The 23,766-nt window shown below is 37.8% G+C and overlaps 1 protein-coding gene across 9 annotated transcripts in view; it reads right to left on the bottom strand.

Moving 5' to 3' along the window:
• The window catches only part of ALS2 (alsin Rho guanine nucleotide exchange factor ALS2), an 80,667-nt gene that overhangs the window by 34,035 nt on the left and 22,866 nt on the right, over positions 1 to 23,766 (bottom strand). For 7 of the 9 annotated variants that reach the window (NM_001410975.1, NM_020919.4, XM_006712654.4 and 4 more), the window contains 8 exons: positions 23,101 to 23,458; positions 20,202 to 20,370; positions 18,845 to 18,941; positions 15,411 to 15,488; positions 12,265 to 12,447; positions 9,957 to 10,128; positions 7,373 to 7,553; positions 4,369 to 4,434 (listed from right to left, as the gene is read on the bottom strand). In NM_001410975.1, coding sequence (NP_001397904.1) covers positions 4,369 to 4,434; positions 7,373 to 7,553; positions 9,957 to 10,128; positions 12,265 to 12,447; positions 15,411 to 15,488; positions 18,845 to 18,941; positions 20,202 to 20,370; positions 23,101 to 23,458 — 1,304 coding nt within the window. Of the gene's footprint in view, positions 1 to 4,368; positions 4,435 to 7,269; positions 7,342 to 7,372; positions 7,554 to 9,956; positions 10,129 to 12,264; positions 12,448 to 15,410; positions 15,489 to 18,844; positions 18,942 to 20,201; positions 20,371 to 23,100; positions 23,459 to 23,766 lie in introns of those variants that run through there. The other 2 variants (XM_006712655.4, XM_017004572.3) reach the window with 2 other exon arrangements.

Genomic DNA, 23,766 nt, shown 5'->3' on the forward strand with positions numbered 1-23,766 from the left:
CTGTCTCTGCAAAAAATACAAAAATTAGCCAGGCATGGAAGCGCACACCTGTAGTCCCAGCTGCTCAGGTGGCTGAGGCAGGAGAATCATTTGAGCACAGGAAGTTGAGGCTGTAGTGAGCCGTGGTTGTGCCACTGCACACCAGCCCGGGTGACCAGCCTGTCTCAAAAAAAAAAAAAGATCTTAGATAAAGTGCCCAGATTTTATTTATATTTGGCTGGTGCTAATGTTCCTACTTCTTTCTCCACGTTCTACTGCAGAGATCAGCTGAGGACTTATTTAATTTTACACAAGTGTTCTGCTTTGACCTGCTCCTGAGAGACGGAGGTAAGATATAGTGAACACAAACTCCCTTGGACCATATTTCTCCTCAATACCCAGTACCCAGTCTACAGTAGACCAGAAATGTTCCAACTCTTGTGAACTCCATTACTTTCCAGGACTCACTCATGTCCTTACCTATAATCTTCCCCGAAAGAGGCCAAGCTACACTCCTAAGAAATCTGAACCAGAAACCATCTCTGATCAGCTTATCTTTTCTTGGGAGTTTTTAATCTAATAGTGGCAATATCACTCTTTCCTTATATGGCAAGGTCTGTACTTTTTACTCAGATTTTTAAAATAAAAAAATATTAAAGGTAGAAACAACCTAAGTGTCCATCAGCAGATGAACTGATTGATAAAATGTGGTAATGTGTACATACAAGAGAATATTATTCAGCCATAAAATGGAATGAAATTTTGACGTATGCTACAACATGAATGAACCTTGAAAATACTATACTTAAAGAAATAAGCCAGACACAGAACGACAAATAAATACGTGATTCGACTCATATAAGGTACCTAGAACAGGCAAACTCAAACAGAGAGGAAGTAGAATAGAGGTTACCAGAGCCAGGCAGGCAGGGGGAGACAGTATGGGGGGAGTTATTATTTATCATGCACTGAGTTTTTCTCAGAGATAATGAAAAAATAGTGATGGTTATACAACATTGCGAATGTATTTGATGCCCCCTAAATTGTACACTTATTAGTGTACAATTAAGATTAAAATGATAAATATGACATTACATATATTTTATCACATTAGGAAAAAAACTTGCATAATAATCAAACCACCAGGCAAGCCTGATGTGAGCAGCTGAGTGATCAATTAGATGAATGATAAGTGCTTGTGCATCATCATCCAAGATCCACTAACAGCCATGTGGGCAGCCTAGCTGTGCTTTAGACATTCTCAAACTCTCCTCTGAAAATGAAATCTTTACGGTAATTTTAAATATTGACTTTGTAAACAGAAGTTGGAAAAAGATGTCATTGCTGCCTTTAACTATGTAAAACCCAGGCTCTGGGCATGGTGCTGTGCAAAAGGCAAGAGGCTTTCAACTTATGTCATCTCATTTTTCTGCTCTAACAAGGTCAATTCTTCAGTACTGTGAATCTAACTCGGAAATACCAGAGGAAGGTCAACAACAGCAGAATAAGGAACCAGGGTCAGTAACTGCTGTAGCCCTTCAGGAAGCCCAGAAGCTTTCCATTTAAACTGTCACAAGTCTCCATCTATTTTTTGCATCTTCCTGTAATTAAACTTGCTTTTCTTCAAGCATTACTATTTGCAAAAATAACTATTGAATTTTCTTTCTGCTCCATTTAATTATTGGTTTGGCTACAGCCCCATTTTCTCCTATTTTCTTTGGCTATGATTCAGCATTTCACCAACATTATAGGTTAACTAAGCTATTTTATTCATTATAATAAAGATATTTAAAATAATAAATATAAAATCAGTAATTACAAATGTAAACTTGTCAAAACCAGAAGTTCTCAAATGTAAACAACAACAACAACAAACAATAAGTCCATCCATGTGCTGCTTATAAGAAATATATCAAAACAATGCAGACAGGCTGAAAGTAAAAGAATGGAAAATTGTGGTGTATTAAGATCAAGAATTTTAAAGTTACTACATAAGGTTAAAGACATATTCTTGAAACTGTCATTTTAAAAAAATAAAGGCCAAACCCCTATATTTTGGAAATCAACAAGCATGTGAGTCCAATAATTCATAATGGATTAGAAAAATACTTTCGAAAATATTTAGAACTGAATGACTATAAAAACAAAACGTACTAAGACTTGTAAGATTCAGCTAAAGCAACAATTAGAGGGAAATTTATAGCCTTAAATGGCTACATTAGAAAAATTTTAAATTTGAAAAATTAATGAACCAAGTGCTAAACTAGAAGTTGTTAAGAAGTTAACAGGTGAACAAAAAGAAAGTAGAAGGAAATAAAAAGCAGAAATTAATGAAATTTTTTAAAAGCGAAAGAAATGATTCCCTAATTTTTGAAAAAATTAATTTAAAAAGGGGTAAACTGCCGACAAGACTGATCAAGATAAAAAAGATAAAAGGCCCAAATGAATAATCGTAAGAATGAGAAACAGGGGGTACAACTACAGTTATTCTGGTGTAATCATTTTAAGACTATGGTAGGAACATTATGCCAATAAGCTTTAAAACAAGGGTGCAATGAACAATTTTCCAGAGAAATATAAATAACAAAAGCCATAAGAAGAAATAAAGACCTGAACATACCTATTCATTAAATCAGTAAAAACTCCCTACAGCAAATGCCCCCATGAAACCTAGATTATTTTTACAGATGAATTCTACTAAATCTTCAAAGTACAAATAATTCCTACTTCATATAAACTATGAACTTCCAGGAAACAGAAAAGGAGAAAAAGCTCCTCCATATCTGTGAGTTCCAAATCTGCAGATTCAACAACCTCAGACCAAAAATATTTCATAAAAAAATTATGTTTCTACCACTTTTTTGTCACTAATCCCTAAACGATACCATATTACAACTATTTATATAGCATTTATATTTTATTAGATGTTATAAGTAATCTAGAGATGATTTAACATATATGAAAGGATGTGCACAGGTTATAGGCAAATACTAAGCCATTTTATATCAGGGACTTGAACATCCTTGAATTTTGGTTTCCTTTGGGAGGTCCTGGAGTCAATCCCTCATGGGTACCAAGAGACAACTGTATAAGTAAATTTAATTCAGCAATGTATTAAAACCTTAATACATTAAGATTACTGAATTTTGGAATTTGGAAACTCAGATATTTAACATTATAAAAATTCCTCTACAACTTTTAGAAATAGGGCCTTTTTAACCCTATAAATTATATCTACCAAAAACCTAAAGTAATCATTTTTAATGGTGAAATATTAAAAGTATTCTCATTAAAACTAGAAATGAGATGAGAATGTTAGCATTCCTTCTATTAGGATAAAAAATCAAAAGCAAACATGGGGCTGGGCATGGTGGCTCACGCCTGTAATCCCGGCACTTTTGGAGGCCGAGGTGGGTGAATCACTTGAGGTCAGGGGTTTGAGACCAGCTTGGTCAACATGGTGAAACCCCATCTCTACTAAAAGTACAAAAATTAGTTCGGGGTGGTGGTGCACACCTGTAGCCCCAGCTACTTGGGAGGCTGAGGCAGGAGAATTGCTTGAACCCAGGAGGCAGATGTTGCAGTGAGCCAAGATTGCGCCACTGCATTCCAGCCTGGATGACAGAGCGAGACCCCGTCTCAAAAAAAAAAAAGCAAACATGGCAAAACATTAACATCTGCTAAATCTGGGTGGTAAGTACATATTTAAAGTATTTTCTATTAAAATACAGAATTTTTGGCCTGGCACAGTGGTGCATGCCTATAATTCCAGCACTTTGGGAGGCTGAGACAGGAGAACCCTTGAGCCCAGGAGTTCCTAACCAGCCTGGGTAACACAGTGAGACCCTATCTCTTCTATTTTAAAAATAAAAAAAACTTAAACACAGAATTTTTAAAACCTTGGCTTTGTTGCTGGGTCAACACTTGTTGAGAAACTATCTGTTCAGGATTATTGCCTTGTGTAAGGAGCCTTTAAATTATTTACCCAGAAGCTAAATGCAAATAGGTTGTATCTGCGCAAACACTTTTTTCTGTGCATCATCACATACATTATTTGTTCCTCTCCAATGGGAGAGAACATTCCCATTTTTCAGATGAAGAACACTAGGCCTACTGAGGTAAAGAGAGTTGTCCAAAGTCTCAAGGATAGCACAGAAGGACCCCGAACCTGAGCCTAGTCATTCAGTACTTTTTCAATAGCATACTACTTATAATGATAACCAGTGGCTAATAGTACCTGTCCTTTATAAGACTTACTGAAAGTTTATATTTTGACTTGTTTGGTAAAATGATGAAGTCAAAGCTTTCCCTGAGCACTCGAAAACAGAGCACTATAAAATGTCATCTTTGGCGGAGAGAATGATAACTGGAAGGTGTGGGTTTGCTTACATGGCAGGCTTAGCAAGAAGCTGGAATCCTCCCATAACCAGGAAATTTGTAATAGATGTGCAATACCTTGAGCAGAAAAGAAAACACATGTACATTAGTTGAAATGTAAATTAGTTCTTCAGTTTCCAAACACATACCTGGAATAGATAATTCTTGATTATTTCACCAATGAATTTCAGAAGTTTTGTGATGTCAACATTTGTGAAGGGCAGGTTGTGTAATAATTACAATAATGGAGGTAAAGGGAGTGGTAGGGGAATTCCAGCTTAGTAAAGATGGTAATATAAGGCTGGTCACATTGGCTCACACCTGTAATCCCAGCACTTTGGGAGGCTAAGGCGGGAGGATCGCTTGAGCCTAGGAGTTTGAGATCAGCCTGGGCAGCATGGGGAAACCCGACTTTACAAAAAAATAGAAAAATTAGTCAGGCATGGTGGCACATGCCTGTAGTCTCAACTACTTGGGAGGCTGAGGTGGGAGGATCCCTTGAGCCTGGGAGGTTGAGGCTGCAGTGAGCTGTGATTCCAACATTGCACAGCCTGAGTGACAGGATACGACTGTCTCCCAAAAAAAAAAAAAAAAAAAAAAAGATGGTAATATAAAAGGAAATTTTAAAAACACCTAAAGCTAAGCAGAAAATGCAGTAATTTACTTGGTATCTACCAAGCAATATCTATTACGTGGTAACTTAATTAACATACTTGAGAAAACATAATTAAAATAGTTGAATTTTTGATGAAAATTTTCTGTAATCTTCACTTCAGGTTTCCCAATTAAGAAATGACAGTGAAGGCTGGGGGCGGTGGCTCACTCCTGTAATCTCAGCACTTTGGGAGGCTGAGGCAAGTGAATCACCTGAGGTCAGGAGTTCGAGACCAGCCTGGCCAACATGGTGAAACCCCGTCTCTACTAAAACTATAAAAATTAGCTGGGCGCGGTGGCGGATGCCTGTAATCCCAGCTACTTGGGAGGCTGAGGCAGAAGAATCGCTTGAACTTGGGAGGCAGAGGTTGCGGCGAGCCAAGACCGTGCCATTGCACTCCAGCCTGGGCAACAAGAGCGAAACTCCAGCTCAAAAAAAAAAAAAAGAAAAAAGAAATGACAGTGAAGGTAAGAAAATATGTTAAAAGTGCTTGAGTCAGTGTTAGAAAATGTTGATTAAATATTGATATGCTGCTAAAGAACAAGTCTAGTTATACTGCTTTGAGCCCTGTACATTTCTTGTACACACTTGGGCTGGCAAATGGAATCAACTGACTTTGAGGAAGAAGGGAAACTCCTAGTAAAATTAGCCCACAGTACTATACAATTAAATATGGTTATAATGGTTAATTTTATGTGATGTGTATTTTATCACAATTAAAAATAATTTTCGCCAGGCACAGTGGCTCACACTTGCAATCCTAGCACTTTTGCAGGCTGAGGCAGGAGGATAACTTATGCCCAGGAGTTTGAGACCAGCCTGGGCAACATAGTGAGACCCCCATCTCTACAAAAAATTAAAAAAATTAGCTGGATGTGCTGGCATGCACCTGTAGTCCTAGCTTCTTGGGAGGCTGAGGTGGGAGGATCACTTGAGCCTGGCAGGTCAAGGCTGCAGTGAGCTGTAATGGTGCCACTGCACTCCAGGCTTTAATAACTTTATAATTATAAAAATAATTTTAAAGATTCATACATAAACCCAAATATTTTACTTGCCCCATCTATAGGAATAACCTGTTATGTTAAAAAAAGCCCAAAGTATCAAAAGCATTTTTAAGCATAAGGCCTAAAGTACCAGAGAAGAAAAAGAAGTGAAATAGAGGTATTATGAGATGAATTCAAGTCAAAAAAGGAAAATTATACCAGTAAAAGCTGGAATCACAGAAACAACAAAATCTAGTTTTAAAAAAGAAACTAGTATCAAGTTCTATTATTTTTATTTTTCATTTCTGAAAGATGATGAGTTAAAATACTCAAACCAGGGTACTTCCTCTTTGACAACAGCTTCAAATATTTTCAATTTTGCTTAGAATTAAAATAGCATCCAACTATCTGTACATATTATATAGGTTGGAAAGGAAATACACTAAGATGATAAACAGTGGTTAGTTCTGGTGGTAGGATTATGGGTGATTTTTGATTATCTTTATTTGTGCAGTTTTCAGTAATAAACACATGTTATTATGTTATAAATAATCAAAACAAAACACCAACAAAACACGAACTCCCTGAGGGCTGGTGCTTTTCGCAGGCCCCATGCTGTGCTGCTGTGGGCTTGGAGCTCCCCGCAAATGCCTGGCACTGAGTGGGCACTCAGTGTTTGCTGGATGGTTGAGGTGTGAATGAATAGAGAACAAAACCTATACATACTTCAGATCAAAGCATAACCTAACATACATTAAAATAACACTTAAATTATGCCTCACATCATCATATCAAAATACAAGTTAAGAAAACGTGAGAAACATTTTAAGTTACATTTTCAAGTACACTTGGGATATTTTGCTTGAAAAATATGCAAAGAACCTTGAATAACTATTCCAGGTTTTATTAAGGAAAAACATCTTCATGTTAAAAATAGTTGGGTCTTTTAAAACTTCCATTTATATAAAAGTCAAAAGCAGACATCAGAACAGCTCCATATTTACAATCAGCAGTTGGTCTTGAAATAATTTGTTTAGTTACTAATTTCTTCCAAGTTTTAGTACAATTTAGTTAAGTAAACAAAATTGTTTTCTAAAGAACCAGACTTATTATAGTACATTTAATGTAAATTATGCTATCACTCTGCTAGAATATAGAAGAAAACATGATAATTCATTATTTTTAAATTTTTTTTCATTTAGAGAAGACTAAATTTTAGCAATCCAGAACTATAGTTGGCTTAAGATTAAAATACTGCTTTGCAATTTCTATTACCTTATATCACTCTCCCTAATCTAGTCTCTTCTGATTAAGGAGCTGTTCTCCTTGGCAGAATAACCCTGCAGAGATTGAACATGACACGGGACTGGATACTTGCTCTGTATAACTATCCAAGAAGAGACTTGAATGCTTCAGGATGACCAAACTCCTGGCTTCCTTTACCCCATGAAGGAAGCTGCTCAATGAGGCTCCATGCTGACCAATGAGGTAACACAGCTTGCTGAATCGGCTAGCCACCTCCTGCAACAGCTGGACTGTAGTTGTAGTGCCCAAATTTTCTATAACAAAATAATGATGATGATGACAACACAAACTGAAAACCGATCACTTTATTATGATGTGATTATGATTATGAATTCCTCTAAGACTACTTAACCTGTTGCCATGTGCTCTCAACTAAGGAACCCAAATGATTACAGTATTAAAGCAACCTCAAAGATCACAGTATCCAGTCCTTTGAGGAACTTGTTAAAAACACATTCACAGGAACCTTATAGATTCCAGGATGGCTTTTTCTGTTAAAAAAGACTCTCCAGGTGATTTTAAAGATGAGCCAAATTTGAGGACCACTGAGCTAATGCAACTCTCTGGTCATTTTGAAGATAAGTAATCTGAAGCCAAGAGAAGGGAAGTCAATTATCTAACTTAAGCCACTGATTAGTGACAGTCAGGAATTAAACTCACTTGGGGAGTTATATCTTTGTAAACATTTTCAGCTTTTTTGTTCTGACTTCTGCTCTACTTGCCTCTTTGAAAAGCCCAACCCTTCAGTGCAGAGAAGGCAATCCAAACATTGGACCACTGAGGATGCTCTGAATTTCAGAGATGGCACCAGGATATTATTTGCTTTTTGCCTGTCTAAAGTTCCTCATTTCTAGGACTTCTTTCCAAGCAATTAGGAAAGTAGACTGGGAAGACCAACAAAGAAATCAGCAACCAGGACAGGAAAGAGGCAGATTTAACCTTTCTTTCAGAGCAATCCAGGAAGCTTCCAGCTTAGATTGCTTCCTTTCTCTTGGCAAAGTCCTGGAGTGTTCAGCCTACCTAGAGGAGGGGAATTTATAGAACAGAGACTCCACAACACTTAAAAGGCAGAAGGTAATAAAAACAAAAACACAAATGCAGACAGTCCTCAGCTTACAAAGGGATTATATTCACAAAGACTGTAAATTAGTTGTTTGAAAAGATGTTTTTCCACTAGAAACAATGGGCAGGCCGGGCACGGTGGCTCATGCCTGTAATCCCACCACTTTGGGAGGCCGAGGCAGGCAGATCACTTAAGGCCAGGAGTACAAGACCAGCCTGGGAAACATGGCAAAACCCCGTCTCTATTAAAAATACAAAAATTAGCAGGAGTGGTAGTGCACACCTGTAGTCCCAGCTACTCAGGTGGCTGAGGCACGAGAATTGCTTGAACCCAGGAGGTGAAGGTTGCAGTGAGCCGAGATTGTGCCACTACACTCCAGCCTGGGTGACAGAGCAAGACTCTGTCTCAAAAAAAAAAAAAAAAGAAAGAAACAATGGGCTGACCTGCAGAAGACAATGTCCTCAACATGGCAAAAGTGATGTACTAGAGAATTAACCTGAATTCTGGGTCAACACAGTGGGGCAAGGAGTGCAGGAGAGAGAAAGAGAAAGAAAACTTCCTGTTTTCTGACTGTAGGGCCAAACCCAGAAAAAAAATTTGAAATAGGAAAAGTTTATCTGCAACAGTTCCCTCAACTTCCATTCTGCATTCCTTTCTATTCTCCCAGAGACCCCCAGGTACCCAGTATATCTGGACAGTGGCATCCCATCTAGTACTACTGTAACCCATTGCCTCTGTATTACCCCGTCACTTCCAACCTCTTTGTAGCTGGGCATAGCTAAGAAAAAGAATCAGATTTAATCAACTCATGCTGAGGGATAAGATCTTTTTTTGTCCCCGAGATGGAGTCTTGCTCTGTCACCCAGGCTGGACTGCAGTGGTACAATCTCAGCTCACTGCAACCTCCACCTCCCGGGTTCAAGCAATTCTCCTGCCTCAGCCTCCCGAGTAGCTGGAATTACAGGCACCCACCTGGCTAATTTTTGTATTTTTAGTAGAGATGGGGTTTCACCATGTTGGCCAGGCTGGTCTCGAACTCCTGACCTCATGATCTGCCCTCCTCGGCCTCCCAGAGTGCTGGGATTACAGGAGTGAGCCACCAAGCCCAGTCGGATAAGAGCTTTAACACTCTTATAGTTATCCACAACTTTAAGAGACTACTTGTAAATCCAAATAAATCTCTACTTGATACAATTCTAAGAACTATAATGAGGAAAATAAAAAATTCAGATAGTATACTGGAAGATCTCTTAGGACCAGCAGGGGGAGAAGTGTTGTTTGGAAGTCTAACTTTATGTAGGGTCAACTTTCCCAAAGTTGTTTTTGTTCCTCTGCCATGAATATCCTAAAAGTTCCATTTTCTACTTCTGGAAGCCGCAGGAGCTCTGGGAGTGGTAGGACAGGGCAGGGGCAGTGAGGCTATTGACAAATTGGAAACAGTTTGTAAATTGTTGACTACCTGTGTACACACACACAAAGACAGTGCATAGCAAGAAGTAAACCATAAACTAACAGGTTTTCATTATTTGTGACATAGGAAGAAGAGATAAAGACCTGATGGTTTAATGGTGGGAGAGAGGGGGTTGCAACTTACCTAAACTGAGAAGAGGCCTGAGAATCTGAGATTTGATATCACTTAGTTTTGAATAGAATCGTCTTTCTGTAGTAGCTAACTCGTGGAGACTGGCAATATACCCCATAATGTTTTTATCCACCAAGGCTAAATAGCTATCTTTTCCTGCTGTCACTCTGCTTATATATCCAAGCTGAAACAGAAGAAAACAAAAGGATTAAATATAACATATAATTATGTTACTAATTTGGTATACTGAAGCTGGCTTATATCAGCTGACAAGAGCTAACTGTTAAATATTCAGAAAATTTGCAAGCAAGTAATTAAACCATTGGCAGCTTGAAAATTGGCCATAGTGAAAATCTGCAAGCACCACAGACTAGGGTTTTTTTTGGGGGGGTCGTCGGGGTCGCTTTTTTTTAGAGCTGGTTCATCAGTACATCATTGTTATATATGCATATCCAGATCTATACATAACTATACACACCTACTTTCAATTATCTCCAAGATACCTTTCATTTCACATTACAACTGTTTGGAAACAGACCCCCTGGATATATAAAGATCCAAATGATAGGGATACATGTCTCAGGACCACTTTCCGAGTAAAATAAGATTAATGAGACCAGGGAGGATCTCTATGCTATATATTAAAATATCTAGGATCTAAGAATTAACCTGCCTTTTGTACAATGAAAAGAGATTTTCTTAAAAAGGGACTTTTTGTCATTTACCCCAGATACCACTGTATAAAAAACATTCCATGTCTTTATTCACATATCCCATTAAATCAGGCAGGCAAGCTACAGACCCAATGCACTATTAACATCCCATGGTAACCAAAGACACACACGAGAGCTTCATTCCTTTCATCAGCCTATTTGATCGTCTATCTAGACTGTGAAATCATTCATGGGGAATGTAAAGCCAGGACTGGCAACTACAGACACATCTTGGCCAATGTTGCCTTTAATCTTTAAATTTGTTTTGTTTTGGTAGAGACAGGGTCTTGCTATGTTGCCCAGGCTGGTCTTGAACTGGCCTCAAGTGATCCTCCAGTCTTGGCCTCCCAAAGTTCTGGGATTATAGGGATGAACCATTGTACTTGGTCCCAATGTTACCTTTAGCAAGAAAGATCTTGTCCCCACACATTCATAACTTACTAGCCAGAAAAACAAACACAAAGACTAAAAAAAAAAGCCCATATGCTATTTTACTTAATAAAAATAAGAAATCCTAGAATATACTAGTTTTGGGGGTTAATTTCCCTGCAGCATGTCACTTTGAGAATGTGAGTTACTTTATGGGGAAAAGAAAGCTAGAAATAAGCCAATGGTTTCAGTTTACAAAAAAGAAGGGAAAACAGAGTGGGAAAGCAGATCAAATAAAAAGGGGATAAACAGTAGGTAAACAGTAGGAAATAAAATTAAGGCCAAACAAGGTGGCTGAGGCCTGTAATCCTAGCATTTCAGGAGGCTGAGGCGGGCAGATCACTTGAGGTCAGGAGTTCAAGACCAGCCTGACCAACGTGGTGAAACCCCGTCTCTACTAAAAATACAAAAATTAGCTGGGCGTGGTGGTGGGCACCTGTAATCTCAGCTACCTGGGAGACTGAGGCAGGAGAATTGCTTGAACCCAGGAGGCAGAGGTTGCAATGGGCCAAGACTGTGTCACTGCACTCCAGCCTGGGCAACAGAGCAAGACTCAGTCTCAAAAAAATAAATTAATTAATTTAATTAAATTAAAAGTGGAGAAGTGAAGCAGGGAAAAACAGAACACTGTTGGTTGTCTGTTGGGTCTCTCATGGTCTGCCATGAGCCTATCTCAGGCTCTTGCATTGTTACTTCCCACTTAATAGTTAGAAATTCATCTACTCTATTTCTAATTCACCTCGAGGGCTCTACGGCTGCAGTCAGGAAACTTCATAGTAAAATGTACTTTCCAATATTCCTACATGAGGGTGTTAATTCAACAAACATTTATAAAGTATGTACTATGCTCATCAAATATCATCAAAATATTTATAAAGTATGTACTATGCTACAGCAGTGAATGAGATAGCCTAAAATCCCTACCCTTCTGAATCTTACATTATAGTAAGGAGGACAGACAATAGACAAAGTGAGTAAATTATATAGTGTATTCGATGGTGATAGGCCCTTTGGAGAGAGAAGATAAGGAGTGAAGGGGGCTTGAAAGGAGTTTGCAATTTTAAATAAGGTAGTTAGAGATGCTTACTAATAATTAGCCATACATACAAATAAAAACAAAAACAAAAGACTTCTTATGTGTTACTGAATGTGGGCCTTAGGATCCAATTCCTGTTCACCTTACTACAGGAGAGAAGTACTGGAGTCTTAGAACCACTGTGATTCTCTGGAAGGTTGTCACCTTCTGTAGGGTCCTGTCGGCCACTGTAATATAACCCAGGCTGGAAGTCTTCTGTATCCACTAAAAACAGGGAATAATCCCTGCCTGCAGCTATGCTCCAGACTCCATTTTCACTGCTTATCTGCAACGACAGAAAGATAGTGTCTGTCCAAGATAAAGGCAATCAGAGAGAACTTCGGATCCACAGGAACTGAAACGTTAGGTTGCTTAAATAAGCGTGGTGCAGTCAGTCATATCTGAGAGCAAACTTACCCAGCAATTTGCCCAATCAAATGCAGAGCAGGTGCAGGAGTAAGACGGAATCCCTTGTTCAGCTTTTAAATTTAGAACTGTTTTTATAAAAATCTGAAAAATTGGAATTTAAAAAGGAAAAACCACACATCTAATTTTTTATTGTTACTTTTGGAAGTCTGCACAGACTGTATTATAATGAAGAGACCCAGAAACTTCCAGAGCCCTACTCTTGAAGTGACAATTAGGACATACCTCTGTCCTTCCACATTTGGCTGTGTGCACAAAAATCGAGGTAAAAGAAAACAAACTAATAAGGCTAAATTCTATTCTGGCCAACTAAACTCTTGGGTGCTAAAATTCAGTTTTCCCACTTGGAACTCTACCAGTCCTACGTGACTTTACTGTGCCTACTCCCAGGATGTTAAAACAGGCAGAGCCCCTGAGAAGCCCATCTGCAGGGATCCCTTAGACCAGTGGTTCTCAGTGGTCTTTGCAGCAGCAGCAGCAGCCATCACCTGGGAACATGTTAGAAACACAAATTCCCAGGCCCCAGAGCTACTGGGGGAAGGGGAATGGGGAATAGAGTCCAGCACTCGGTCGCTTTTTTTTTTTTTTTTGAGACTCTTTCGCCCAGGCTGGTGTGCAGTGGCGCAATCTCGGCTCACTGCAAACTCCACCTCCCGGGTTCATGCCATTCTCCTGCCTCAGCCTCCCGAGTAGCTGGGACTACAGGTGCCCGCTACCACGCCCGGCTAATTTTTGTATTTTTAGTAGAGACGGGGTTTCACCGTGTTAGCCAGGATGGTCTCGGTCTCCTGACCTCATGATTCGCCCGCCTCAGCCTCCCAAAGTGCTGGGATTACGGGCGTGAGCTACCGCGCCCAGCCCAGCACTCTGTTTTAACAAGCACTCCACAGGTGATTCTGATGTATGCAAAAGTTTGAGAACCACTGCCTTTAAACCAATAATTTTCAAACCTCGGGATTCCACACAGTGATTCAGTGGCCACCATGCCAAGGCAGGTGCCAGGGCTCTAGGCCCCCACTCCATCCTTAACCAAAGTAGTTCCTCATTTGTGGGTTTTATGTATGGGATTCCTCATAAGATTTCATTTGGAGAAAGTGTGTTACTGCAAAAACTACTACCTCTAACCTCTAGACCCAGCTTCAGCTCCTAGACTGATAGGCAACACACACACACACACAAATACACTCTCTAATCTGTTAGATCCTTTGTGTTTAGATAGTTTCAGCACTGACTCCTGGACTGACGAACAACCCCTAATCTATTAGATCCTTAGTATCTAGCTAGGCTCCAAATCATAGGTGATTTTGTGTGTGTGTTGTGTGTGTGTGTGTGTGTCTACTACTAATTTTATAGCAGTCTTCTTCTGGCATGACATTATGTTCTCAAATTCAGGCGATCCAAATAACGGACTTCCCATTCATTTTGCAAAGGACGCATTACAATTTTTGCAAAAGGAGTCTTCTTCCTAGTCTCAAAACTAACTCAAATCTCACTCTGCCTTCACTTTTAATTCTCACAGATTAATCAGGATGACTTCAAAAATGTTTTTCTCAGCCTTCCTCAAATAAAAAAACCAAGCTCCCAATGATGTCGGAGAGTTATGAAACTAAAATCTTGTAACAAACTATTCTCTTGTTTGCTCTAAAATGTTAAAAAGGAGTTTGATTTTCAGGTCTCCATGCTACATTACAAAGGTTTCCTTAGTATGAATAAGCACACACTTCAAATAAACAAAAAACAAGGAACAATGATTTGCAATATCTTTGTTTGTGATAATGTATCAGAAACTGAATAGCTTACTACTACGATGTTTTATACTGAAAACATTTCAGATTGGAGCTAGAAGTAATAATTGTTCCCTAATGTTTTATTAAGCCTTTTCTTCCCAGTAAAATTAAGTTCACCAAAAGGAAAGGCAGCATGTAAAAATCTTAAATAGTGACAGATGCACAGTGCACATTGCATATATGAATTATTGGCATATTTATTAACTGTCACATTCAAATCATATTCCTAAAATTGACGTAATTGCCCTTCTTTAATCTCCATTACTCCAGAGGGAGCATGTCTTGGGAACGGGGAGATATCAGAATCCAACTACATATCTATGACCTCCATATTCCATTCTGTCACATGGAGGGCATCTCTACCAAAAACCCTAAAACTCTTGTTCAAGGAACCAGTACAATTGATGAGAATTTGGTATTTCCTCAGGGTGATGAGGCGGAACACAAGGTGGAGAAACACTGCTACAGAACTTCATCAAAGAGACTAGAAGCTACCAATCTCTCAATGGCATTACATAAACTAAAACCAATCCATCTAACAGTAAAAAAAAAAAAAATTCACCTCTACTTTTAGCTTTACTACAGAAAGTGAAAAGGCTTACAAAAAAAAATGTTTTACTACTCTGCATGTTATTTTTAAATGCACACACAAAATTACACCATCAAATAATGTTATGTAAAAGTCAAACAATGGAGAATTCAAAGAGTAGACATTATCTGGTAACGCTGAGAAAACAGCAGAGTCCTAGAAACATGTTTTAAAAGAAAGCACTTTTTCATTTTTTTACTTAAAAAAACAAAGAAACTATGCATATTTAATGAACAGTTGAAGCTAAGAAATATAAACACATAAAAAACGGATATTTAGCTTGAAAACACGTGGCTTCCTGTTTTTAAAAATTTTCTTATGAAAACCAAAACAAATTTAGGTTGTACGTATGAAATTCCCCCGATATTTTAAAATAAGAAATGGAGAAGTATAAGGTGTTACAGCTAAGAATTGTGGAATAAGTTGCTATCAAGTTCACAAAAGTACCTTTGCAAGACGAGGAACTGTTGTTGGAAAATCGGAATGCCCAAGTTGACCAAAGGTATTGCTACCCCATGAGTAAACCTATCAAAAAAACACAGAAAAGTAGCTAAGCGTTGTGAATCTGATTTTGCACATCAACTCTGAACCTTTATAATAATTAACATATATACACAAATACCAACAATTATACATTAAGTACTTATATTAGTCTTTCACTCTTTAACAGATATTAAGGAAATTCATTTTTAACAAGACCAGAGATAATGCGCAAATAGAGTCTTGGTACATAAGAAGACAGAGTCCAAAAATTAGCTGGGCATGGTGGTGCATGCCTGTAATCCCAGCTACTTGGGAGGCTGAGGCAGGAGAATGGCTTGAACCCGGCAGGCAGAAGTTGCAGTGAGCCAAGATCATGCCACTGCATTCCAGCCTAGGCAATATGAGCAAAAGTCGGTATCCCAAAAAAAAAAAAAAGAAAAGAAAAGAAGAAGGCAGAATTGAGGAGTCAACAATAACAATAACAATAACTAACACTTTTCAGGTGCTTACTAACTGCCAGACATTGTTCTTAACACTTTCTGTATATTAATTGATGATTCATTCTCACAACAATCCTAACAAAAATAAATAAATAAGGAAACCCAGAGAGGTTAATTTACCCATGGTCACAAATTCATATGTAAGAGGCAGGATTTAATCCCAGGAATTATCGTATACTGCCTCTTTTAGAGAAAGCAATAAAAACATTAAGTGATATAGAGGAAGAGTAATCATGATTTCCTACTCTGTAGATAAAAGTACTATGGAATGAACAGAAAACCTTTCATACATGAAGAGTTACTGTAAGAGAAACACAAGTACCTACACGACACTACAGACAAAAGAAACTAGATTGCAATGACTAGGTTTAAAATGTTTGTTTATTCTGATTATGAAAGTAATTCATGGTCATTGTACAAGACTGTGACAGTACAAAAATAAAAATAGAAATAAAGTGAAAATCACTGATCAACCACTTGGTGGCACCTACTCTTTTGCACATCAGTAAGTATAGATCTGTAACATCATTGTTAATAACTATCTAGAACTCTACTGTGCATATACTTTAACAAATTACGTACTGAATTAAGTTCTTTCCAATTCCTTTTTTTTTTTTTTTTTGGAAGCAGAGTCTCGATCTTGTCACCCAGGCTGGAGCACAATGGCGCAATCTTGGCTCACTGCAACCTCCGCCTCCCAGATTCAAGCAATTCTCCTGCTCAGCCTTCCAAGTAGCTAGGATTACAGGCGCCTGTCATCACGCCCGGCTAACTTCTGTGTTTTTAGTAGAGATGGGGTTTCACCATGTTGGCCAGGCTGGTCTTGAACTCCTGACCTCAGGTGATCCGCCCACCTCAACCTCCCAAAGTGCTGGGATTACAGGCATGAGCCACCACACTCAGCCTCCAATTCTTTAATATTAAAAAGGATAGGAAAAATCCTTGAATACATATATTCATGTATCTATTTGCTTAGGATAAATTCCTAGGCAAAGACTATGCCATTCTGATTTTTGATACATACTGACAAACTCTCTTCCAGCAAGGTCCAATTTACATTCCTGCCTGCACTGCACGCACATTTTCTCCTACATCCTAATCAATGCTCAGCATTGAATGTAATCCTTAGGTTTGCATAGGTTAATCTCATAGGTGAGAAAAACACTGTACTGTTGTTTTTTAATTTAAATGTATTTGCTAAATGATCATCTTTTCATTTATTGCTGGCCATTTCTACTTCTTTTATGACGAAAATATAAATATCCTTTTGACAATTTTTATCCTTTGACAACTGTTCCTTTATATATAAGTGCAGCAACACTTTATCACATATGTTGCAGATATTTTTACCCAGTTTGTTACGTATTTTCATTTTGTTTACACTGTTTTATTTGCTGTTCGGGACTGTTGAATTATCATATTGACAAACATATCTTACTTTCTAATTTCCAGTTTTGATGTTATGTCTTTTTCTATGCCTAAAAGACTCATCTTAATTTGTTCATACACACACACGCACACATACACACAGTTCTAGTTTTTAATGACATCATTAATACACCCAGAATTAGAATATGTATAGCCATCTTAGTTTTCTCCTACAAATACGAAGCCAGTAAACATTTACTACATTTACCGGATACTCAAGTCTTGTTTTCCCAACTGAATGGAAACACCCACTTTTATATCTTAAATTCTCATATATACTTGAGATTATTTCTAGCCGACAGGCATATTTCTGTTGCATTGATCTGTTTAATTTTATAATATATAAGGATAAATCTCTCTTTTTACCTGGCTCACCTATGTTTATTCTTCTGAAGTAATTTTGGGATTATTTTATCAAATTGTAAATATTACACTGGAATATTTTGGGGACTGTACTGAATTTTCACTGTGCTGATTAATGATTTAAGAGAGAAATGACATTTTTACAACTGACGCATCTCATCCAAAAATAAAACCTCTCACTTTACTACTGCTTTCATGACCCTTCAAAAGAGTTCTAAAGTTTGCATCATATGGGTTATATGCATTTTATACTTATTCCTACTTCCTTAACACTTTTGGTGTAGTTCTGAGCAGAATTTCCTCGAGTATGTTTTGTTTTATTATATGTATATAATAAAGCCAGTAATTTTTATTTTGTAACTGACCTCCTTCCTAATCTCTCATTTTTAAGTCTTTTGAATGAATCATGTTAAAAACAGTAAATTCCCCTTTTTCTTTCCTAATATTAATATTTATACAAGTTATGTTAGTTTTTTGGCTAGCCTAGTATGTGAAATGTGCAATCAAATCAAATATTAAAAGGGCTTCGAATCCTTTATTGGCTTCTTAAAAAGATAAAGGAATTGGTGAAGCACCATTATCGAAATATGAATATATTTAATATTAACTTATTGCAGATGAGCAGTCTGGGTTTAAAAAAAAACTTAAAACAACTTCTTTATGTTTATGTACATGGGTATGGTTTTTAGTAATGCTAGAGGTCACTTTCAGGTCCCACAGTTTTAAAGAAAAATGACTTTATTTTCTTAGTGTTTTACTATGTATCTTCTTTGTAACAAATAAAAATTCACCAATACCCTGGAAAATCTGGGGTTCTCTTTTTAGGTGAGAACACATTATAGAAAGCTCCTAAATCAGGCAGAAAAGTGTTTAAATCCAAGCTCTACTGTTACGTATGTGTGACTTTAGACAAGTTACATAATTTCTCTTACTCCACTTCCCTCGTCTGTAAAGTGGAAATAATACCATACAAAATATTGGAAAGCTAAAATGAGATACGGTTATCATTGCCTGACATATAGCAGATAATCAACAAATGAGGGTCCAACAATGTCATGTTGGCCTTCCATGAAAATAAGGTAAAGCATTTAATAGTTTGCCTCCTACCTGGGATTTCGCAGTAAGTGCAAGAGAATGGTAACCACCTGCCTCCAGATGGATTACTTCTTTGCCATCCAGACATTTTACACACAACGGTTGAAGCCTTAAAAAGAAACACACAGGCACACAAAGTCAAAGTATTCTCAGCAAGAATCGTAGCCTTTCTCAAATTATAAAGTGCTGTCGTGTAAAAATAAACATTTCTAAAGAAAACATTAAAATAAACATAATGGATATATGGTCAATCTACTCCTAAATATCATGAATAATTTTTGGAAGGTTTTAACCTTTGTCTATCAATCACTAATTAATCCCCATAATTTAGAATCTGTTAAGAATCATAAAACTACAAATGATTCTTTATAGCAAAAAGTATACTTAGGATACAGTAAAAAATAACCACAGAAGGAAGGTAATTTTTAAATTAATTCCAGTTGCCTTCACTCTACTATGAATACAGACATTTATATTAACTCACTACTTTAGATAATCATTCCAATTACTCACTTAAAAACTTCCCAATATCTAATTTGTTAATGTCGTAACAATTTCTAATAAACAAAATGCCAGTTTTACCCTAATATATGTGAATAGACATAGTCTGATGTTTGAATTATAGTTATTTTGGCAGTGGCAGAGACATCTTTCAGGTTAAAAAACAAAACAAAAAAAACTGTTGGCTCTTTTCTTTTCCTATGTGACAGGTGGGGGCCTCTTTTTCATCAATTAAAAATCTGAGCCATTCCTGTCTTCCAGTGAAATATAATCTTATCCCAACACCCCTTTCTGTACTCCAAGATGAACACACATTGAAGAAGATATGGAAAAGCGCACCATGGATACTTAAGTCTTTTACTGCTTTTTTTTTCTTTTCCTTTTTTTTTTTTTGAGATAAGAGTTTCATTCTTTTGCCCAGGCTGAAGTGAAGTGGCACAATCTCAGCTTACTGCAACCTCTGCCCTTCCCAGATTCAAGCGATTCTCCTGCCTCAGCCTCCTGAGTAGCTGGAATTATAGGAGCCCACCACCATGCCCAGCTAATTTTTGTATTTTTAGTAGAGACTGGGTTTTGCCATGTTGGCCAGCCTGGTCTCAAACTCCTGACCTCAGGTGATCCACCTGCCTCAGTCTTCCAAAGCACTAGGATTAAAGGTGTGAGCCACCAGGCCTGGCCAAGTCCTTTACTGTTAAGAACAAATTCAAGAGTAAAGTGACAGCTTTTTATCAGAGTTAATGGTGTGTAATAATCTGAAGCTAGAAGAGCCCAGATTTCCTCTATGAGGAAAGTGAGATTTAGAGACCTTCCCAGGAGAGAGATTATTTGTTTAAGCCAACTTCTATCGGTAAATGTTGGTAGCGCTTACCTAGGCAGAACATCGCCGTGCCCCAGCTGCCCTTCCTTCCCTTTCCCCCAGGTCCACACTTCTGTTCTCAGAGAAGGCAGGAGCGCATCTGCTTCTCCACTGTATGTGGGGGTCAGAACCACTGTCCTCGTTTTCACCCGTGCAGCCTTTCTTAAGAGCCTGGGGGAAACTGAAAACCAACCAGACGTGGGGTGAAGGAGTGGGAGTCCAGAGGGTAAGAAAACATATCATTTGGACAAACTTAAGATTTTCAAAAACATACGCCACCAATGGTATTTTTGAAGCATATTCTAGAGGCTCTCTGTAGAAAAGGGGACCTGTTAGTCAAATGAAATTGGTAAATACTCACTGCTACAATCTATCCTCCCACTACCTCCTCTGCAGAGATTCACACACACATTAGCACACACTGAAGGTGGTGACAAATCCTGTAAATAAAAGCCCTGTTTAAATATGTTTAACCCAGCTGGAATTCCAAACATTTAGCCACAGAAACCTTTTCTGTACAACATCTAGTGACATCCTATAGAACTTGTATTCTAAAGAATATGCTGAACAAAATACTATACTAAGGCTGACAAATACTTTTCTCATTTGAAAACAAAAATTAACGAGCCAGGCAAAGTGGCTGTAGTCCTAGCTACTCAGGAGGCTGAGATGGAAGGATTCCTTGAGCACAGGAGTTTGAGGTTATAGTGTGTTATGACTACATCTGTGAATACCCACTGCACTCCAGCCTGGGCAACATAGCAAGACACTGTCTCTTTTTTTTTTCTTGAGACGGAGTTTCGCTCTTGTCATCCAGGCTGGAGTGTAATGGCATGATCTCGGCTCGCAGGAACCTCTGCTTCCTGGGTTCAAGTGATTCTCCTGCCTCAGCCTCCTGAGTAGCTAGGATTACAGGCATGCACCACCACACCCAGCTAATTTTTGTATTCTTAGTAGAGACAGGGTTTTGCCATACTGGCCAGGCTGTTCTCAAACTCCTGATCTCAAGTAATCCTCCTGCCTTGGCCTCCCAAAGTGCTGGGATTACAGGTGTGAGCCACTGTGCCCGGCTCCCATCTCTTAAAACACAAAAAGCCTTTCTAAGTCAAGGTCTAAGTTGAAATATATTATGAATAATTGTAATAAAGAATTCATTTTAGCTATAAAATGTAAACATTTCTGAGACGGGAAAAAGATTATGAAAGGGATATACTAAAAAGCTTTTGTACTTGCCTATTTCAAATTATTTTACAGAGATGTTAAAAAATGTTTTAAAAGAACATTGCCATCTTTTATAGTGTTCAAAATTACATCAAACACACACAACACTATGTGAATAGTGTTTGATGCCAGGATAAGATTTGAAGAAAATCATCAAATGTCACTCAGTAGAGACTTAGTCATTAGGTCATTAACTTGAGGGCCACAAGAAAGTGATCATCACTGCCTAATATCAACATCTTTTCTGGTGAATGTATCGTTTCTATGCATACGGAGACTCAAATAAACCTACTTGAAGATTCCTCAAGGATGTACTCCAGATAATTCTTAGAGAGGGGGAAAAGAGTACATGTAAAATTTTTCGAAAGATACTTTAGGTTACTAAGTAAAATTTAACCATAGGATATAAGTCTATTAGTGGGATTCATGATGTAATGATATGAAAAAATATTCCACATTTGTAGTTCAAAGAGATTGCAAATATATTTATATACTTAAAATGCTAAAGGACACTTAAGAATAAGAAAAGTTTGGTGCAAGATTCTCCTTCAGATTTAATAGAGATCATAGGCCTTCTTATACATCATATATATTATATATATATACATATATATTCACATTAATCATGACTTAAGTTTTATTTGTGTAGAGGAAAATCTGGTGGTAATGAGAATTAAGAGTGGCACAAGAGTGTTCAGTAAGTAGAACAAGGGGAGAAACAGGTGCAGAGTAAAAAAGGTAAGTTTTAGTACAGTCTAGAATTCCTAACTTTTGAGCTTTGCACAAAATCATGTAAACCAGGAGTTGGTCAATTATAGCCCATGGCCAAACAGGGCCTACCATATGTTTTTGTAAATAAAGTTTTGTTGGGATATAGCTTCACTCATTCATTACATATTGTCTCTGGCTGCTTTTACATAACCACAGCGTAGCTGAGTAGTTGTCACAGAGACAGGATGTCCTACAAACCTTAAAATATTTCTCTTTGGCTCTTTACAGAAAAAGTCTGCCAAATCCTGGTCTCATCAAATGCTTCTCAGACTTTAGTGTGCATACTAATCACCTGGGGGACCTTGCTCTAATGCATGTTTTGATTCAGTAAGTCGAGAGTGGAACCTGAGAGTCTGCGTTTGTAACAAGTTCCCAGATGCTGCTGATGCTGCTGGTCTGCAGGCCACTCTTGAGAAGCATTAAGTCCAGATGGCTGAGACTGCTGAACTGATTGAGAAAAGGAGAAGAACCAACTGCATAATATTCTAAAAAGTTTATTGCCTATGGTCTCAGAAAATGAAATTTTCTCTTCTTGAAGCTTAAGAATTCTCTCCTCTTTCAAGTCAAGTACAGTAATTCACTTATCCAATGGTCGCATCTCCAACCTCATCGATCTGGAGTATCGGTCCCAATTAGGAAATAAGAAGGGTACTGTAACACTCCAGAACAATAAAATAAGATTCACAATAAGGTTCATAAGCAGGAGCAAACATCAAGAAAAAGTGACGTTCTAACTTTATAGTGATATCTAAAGCAGATAAACATGTAACTTTCTTTTAAAACCACCATTAAATAAATATTCACATTTGAATATGTCAGCTTCATAATTAGGACAGCTTTTTTAATAATACAGCATGCGATGTCAGGAGCATCCTGGATTCCCCAAAAGTCAATTCACAAAACCTAGTTATTTCCTTACCTTGTGACAACAATCCAGGGAGGGAGAGTCTTCGACTGCCTCCCTCTGTTTCTTCTTCTCTGATATCCACAAGACTTGAACTTTTCTTTCCTTGCATTGATTCCTGTTTAACCTGTTCTTCCCTGCTATCTTTCAAACCTTCGGGGCCAATGGCACTACTGCCTGCCTGAGCTCCAGTTTCACAAGGGGTTGTACTATAAAAGTTCATAACTTTCTTCAGTGACAAGGCACCAGCTTCATAAGTAGCAGCCACTCTCACACCAACAGCAGATGCACAAGAGACCACCAGGCTGTTTAGGGCTGAGGTGCTTGTGGTAGGCGGGCTGTGGAGATTAGGAATTGCTTCTTCTAAAAGAGGCTAAAATATACACACATAAAAAATTATATAAAAATATAATCCCTTATGCAACAAGCAATCAATAAAAAGAAAGGCTAATATCCATCGCTATTTGCATGTAAGAATCTAAAACGACAGAAGTTCTCTTCATCTTCAACTAAAGGTATTCTCTTCTTGATCATGGAGTTAACACATTAAATGGAAATGAGTACTCAAAATACAGTTCCTTCTCCAAAGTACTTCCTTTTGTCTAGATGTTGTGTTTTTCTATGGTATTTCAAAATAAGCCTCGGCTGCTTTTATAAAATTAAACACAGTAAAAAGGGAGG

The sequence above is a fragment of the Homo sapiens genome, chromosome 2 (genome assembly GCF_000001405.40).
Source record: "Homo sapiens chromosome 2, GRCh38.p14 Primary Assembly".
Lineage (NCBI taxonomy): Eukaryota > Metazoa > Chordata > Mammalia > Primates > Hominidae > Homo > Homo sapiens.